Below are 5001 nucleotides of genomic sequence, written 5' to 3' on the forward strand. Positions count from 1 at the left end.
CATTCAGGATAGATGAAACATACAGTGTGGAAATATTGAGAGGCATGCTGGCACCACATCTGAAGAGCTCTCAAGCTACATACTGAATGCAATGCACTGAGTCTTTAGTCTCTCCAAAATTGTTAACTCCCAGTTAACAATTGAAATGTTGACCCCCAGTGTGGTGGTGTTCGGAGGTGGGGTTTTGAAGAGATAATCAGACATGATGGTAGAGCCCTCATGAATGGGGTGAGTGCCTATGTAAGAAGAGGCCAGAGAGCTCTCTTGTTCTCTTTTTATCAAGTGAAGAAACAACAAGAAGTCAACAGCCTGCAACCCAGAAGAGAGCCCTCATCATACACTGAATCTGCCAGTGCCTTGCTCTTGTACTTCTCAGCCTTCCAAACTGTGAGAAATAAACATCTGCTATTTATAAATGAAGGTCTGCTATGGTACTTTGTTAAAACATCCCTAACTATGACTGAGTAAAATACACTGCACTTTATCTCAAGGAAGAGAGAATCATTGAATGCTCTGAAGTTGAGGTAGCATCAGATTATATCTATGTTTTGAAAAACTCTAACTTTTAATTTTTTCTTAAGGAAAGAAACTTGAATATGTTGAACCACTAGTGGAAGGAAGACAATAGATCAGGAAAAGCTGATGACATCAAATAATTGATGAAATGAGATCCATGGGGGTGGAACAGAGTGTCTGGAGGGTTTAAGTTTAGAAGAAGAGCTAGTATACCTACAATATTCTTAATACACTTGAATAAAATGTCAGTATCTCTTTGATATCTGATTAAGCAAGTTTTTACCAAAAAAATTGTCATATTAAAGCCATAATTTTTGCAATAGTTGAGGCTCATTTATATCCTGCTTAATAAGAATTCATCATATGTAAATCAGCACATATATAATACTTAATTTACTTGGTTGTTTAGTGAAATACCCACATAACATTTGGAACTTTAAAGATGTAATAGAAAGTATAGTCACATTCATGGATAGAATCACATTTTTCTATTGTCTACTTTGGTGAAAAATCAATAACTTTCAATACAAGTAAGATGCCATATTGGATTATTTTATATTCTTAAATAGGACAAACATCTAATATCAAATTTTATATTACTATTAATAATGAATTTATTTTTAAATGATGTGGGAATAAACATTTTATATCAAATTTATATTATGTACAATAGTTCATCAGAAGCACAGATATGTCTTTCTCATTATTGACTATGTATTTTCAAAGTAACCTGAAAGTAATCTGTGTGTTATTTGAAATAGTGTATTGTCTATGGCGTACTACCCTGAATATGTCCAATCTTGTCTGAAATTGGGAAATGCAGCCTGTGTACAAAAGTCCGTTGGGTCATGAATAGCCCAGCAACTTCCATTCATCAAGTTGCTATTTTGCGGGCATTGTCACAGTGACTCGAGAAATTATCTAGGGAATTATGCTTTATGGTATACTTGAAATGTGGCAAACATCCTCAAAAGACCAGGAGTTTGTATTAATTCATTGCCTGCATATATTACACAGAAAACACAGGACATTTGCAGAATAACTTGCTTCTTGCTATCTGGCTTTATCTATTTGGTTTTATTCCACTCTCTGTTATCCAAGGTGGCCAGTAATCTGGAGCCAAGCATTACCTAGATTCAAGATCCCAGACCACTTCACCCAACCAATTTCTACCAGAACTACTTTCCAATTATCTCACATCTAGTAAGCCATTTTCTATCCTTTGAAATGAGGGAAACTTTGACCCTAAAGAGACCCTTAACTACATACAATACAGATTTGACCTTCCATGCAGGACAGGGCTGTGTTCCCCTTCTCTCCATCTTCTCTACCTCCAGCTCCTGTCTCACTGTCTCATTTACCTCTCCACTCTATGCCCTAGTGACTTTCCTCTACCCTTAGGACTCCAATGGTTTTCTCTGGGCTCTTTACAACCTTGTGCCTATCTGCCTTTTCACTTACCTCAGTCCATTGTACAGTATCTGCTTAGATGTTTGTTTCACATGCTACACTGTGAATTCTAAACATCAGAGACTGTTTTGTTGTTGTTGTTGTTGTTTTTTATTTCTAAGACTTTGTGGTGTTTTCAGCATATAGTAGAGGCTTAGTTAAATGCTAAAGAAATCCATGAATTAGCTCTATCATTTCACTTTGTGGCACTTTCGATGATACAAAATAAATTATATTAAGGTCACTTAACAATTTCTTTTCTCAAGGAAAAGTCAATGAAGTTACTGTAACCACTCAATGCGTTCAGTTTACCCACATCCTAGACAGAGTCAATTTATCAAGACTGGAGAATTGCAATAGAGAAAGAGTAATTCATGCAGAACCAGCTGTGCTAGAGACCAGAGCTTTATTATTACTCAAATCAGTCTGCTGGAGCATTCAGGGATCAGAGTTTTTAAGGCTAGTTTAGTGGGTGGGAAGCCAGTGAGTCAGCAGTGCTAATTGGTTGAGTCAGAGATGAAGACATAGGAAGTCTAAGCTGTCATCTTGTGCTGAGTCAGTTCCTGGGTAGGGGGTCACAAGATCAGATAAGCGAGTTGATCCATCTGGGCGATGCCAGGTTATCCATCAAGTGCAGGGTCTTGAAAATATCTCAAGCACTGATCTTAAGTTTTACAATAGTGATGTCATCCTCTGGAGCAATTTGGGGAGGGTCAGACTCTTGTCGCCTCCGGCTGCGTGACTCCTAAACCATAATTTCTAATCCAAATTCTAACAAATTTTGGCTAATTTATTAGTCCTGCAAAGGCAATCTAGTCCCCAGACAAGAAGGGGGATTGTTTTGGGAAAGGACTGTTAGCATCCTTGTTTCAAACTATAAACTATAAACTAAGTTACTCCAAAAGTTAGTTTGGCCTATGCTAAGGAATGAACAAGGCCAGCTTGAAAGTGAAAAGCAAGATGGAGTTGGTTAGATCAGATCTCTTTAATTGTCTCAGGTATAATTTTGCAATGGCAGTTTTATTACTAGACAAACTAATTTATAATTTTTTATTGATCAGGGGTATGAGGGTTTTTTTCCCCCACTTCAAGCAAATATTTGCTGCTCTATCTTTCCAATACCAATTGACTAATTTCTAACATCAACTGGGTGCCCGATAATTCCATTTAATTCCGGCACTAATTACCCAGAGTTAACATCAGATCCTATGTGTTAAGGACTCAGTTCCACAAGACTGCCCCTGACTTCAGAGGCCAACCGTAAATGGGGTGCATAGGCTACCCATATTTTTGCCTTCCAACTACAAATTCCAGAGTTCACAGGATTCCTGACCCAAGTTTGGTAATTTTCTGGAATAACGCACAGAACTCACAAAGACATTTTACACACTATTACGGTTTTATTATAGATAAAACTCAGATTTTCAGTGTGTAATAAAAGTGGCCATTTTATCAAAAATAAGAAATATTGTCACTATTTTAACATGAGCCCTAATGAAGTGTATAATAAATTCACTTATAGTTGTATTTAAAATACACGTGTTAGTATAAGAATTAATAAATGACTGAATGAATGAATTATTTAATCATGATCTTCAGAAGGTCTTACGGTGCAGTTTTATTTTTCTGTGAAAATCTAACCCAGAGACAAATAATTGTATTTCCTATATGGGGAAAAAGTAATGAGCTGCTGGTCAGGGGAGACACTTTGGCAATGATGATGGAACATTACAGATCAGCAGGGATCCCCAGGCGGGTTTCACCACATAGCATCTTCTGGATTGAAAGCAGCAGGGGAATCCTATTCCACATCATTTCCCAAATCATTTCTCTTCTTGAGTAGAATGACTATAAACTATGAAGGAAAATTAAAGTCCTAGTAGAATTTTGAAAAGAGGAAAGTATGACATGAAAACTTACAGAAATAAATGGGCCAAAGTAAATTTTAAAATAATGAAAGTATCTCTTAAAGTTTATTAAAAATATATGTACCAGTATAAGTGGTATTTTCAATTACTTAGAATTTTTGGCTCATTATTTTTGGCTTCATATTTTAAGCTTTATCAATGATACATCTTTATATTTTTTCTAGTACAGGAAAAGCATGTCACAATTTTAGAAAAAATATAAAGAAAATTGCCTGCTGGATTTTAAGAAAGTATTTTTTGGTGATTCATTACTTATTTCAAGTATAAAAATATTCTGATCCTCAGAGGGTCAAATAAATCAGTGTATTCAGCTTGCTTCTGAGCCATTCTCCTCAGAAGCCCGAGCTATTTTTTTTATAAGATACAAAAACAAATATTTCCTTTGAATTCACATGGTTTGAAGATATGTGCCCGCCTTTCCATTCTATTGTCCTCTGACTGTATCAGAGCAGGGATAAAAAAGTGGAACTGGCTTAAAGCATTATCAAAGTCTTAATGGCTGGAAGCAAAAGTGATGAGAAAGAGTATGCTGGGTAAGCAAACCTGCACCGTATTTTTCAGAACAAATCCCTGTACCCTAAGCCTATTTTCAATGTGTAGTATAGTGTATACATGGAAAATGAATAAAATCTATAGAAGCAGAAGGAGAAATCACATTTTGCACAATTTAATTAAAATCATTGAGGAGCCTACACTGTTATTTTAGGGGTCTGACCTAAAATATTACCAAAACAGTAATATGGAAAAGAAATTCTTGAAAGTGGAAGAAACAGTATGCTGCCTCTTTACTTCCAGTGAATACCTGGACTGGTGACACATAGAGTTCAATCTTTCTTTAAAGTGTTAAAAAAAAAAAATTCAAGTATCAAAGTTTTTGCCAGATTATCAATCTTATCTGATTTTCTTAATGCCAGTGTTTAATCAGATTAGTTCAACTCTTCCTAAATCCTATTTATTGCCATTACAATTGACTGGTAACAAATTAATAAATGTAAAGTGATTAGAAAAGAGTCTGGCCTGTAGTAAGAATTCAATAAACGCAAACAACAAATATCTTTTCGTTACTATTATCCATAGATTACTTGTTAGTCGAGTTTCTGCATGAAAA

At 35.6% G+C, this 5001-nt stretch overlaps 1 annotated feature.

Moving 5' to 3' along the window:
* Positions 1857-3056: an enhancer, noted in NCBI's record as "P300/CBP strongly-dependent group 1 enhancer chr21:26479627-26480826 (GRCh37/hg19 assembly coordinates)". NCBI's record gives its function as "activates an origin of replication core promoter dependent on BRD2, BRD4, P300/CBP, MED14 and CDK7 cofactors, with strong dependence on P300/CBP, by STARR-seq in HCT116 cells {active_cell/tissue: HCT116}" and the evidence as "EXISTENCE:reporter gene assay evidence [ECO:0000049][PMID:35650434]".

This window comes from Homo sapiens, chromosome 21 (genome assembly GCF_000001405.40).
Source record: "Homo sapiens chromosome 21, GRCh38.p14 Primary Assembly".
NCBI lineage: Eukaryota > Metazoa > Chordata > Mammalia > Primates > Hominidae > Homo > Homo sapiens.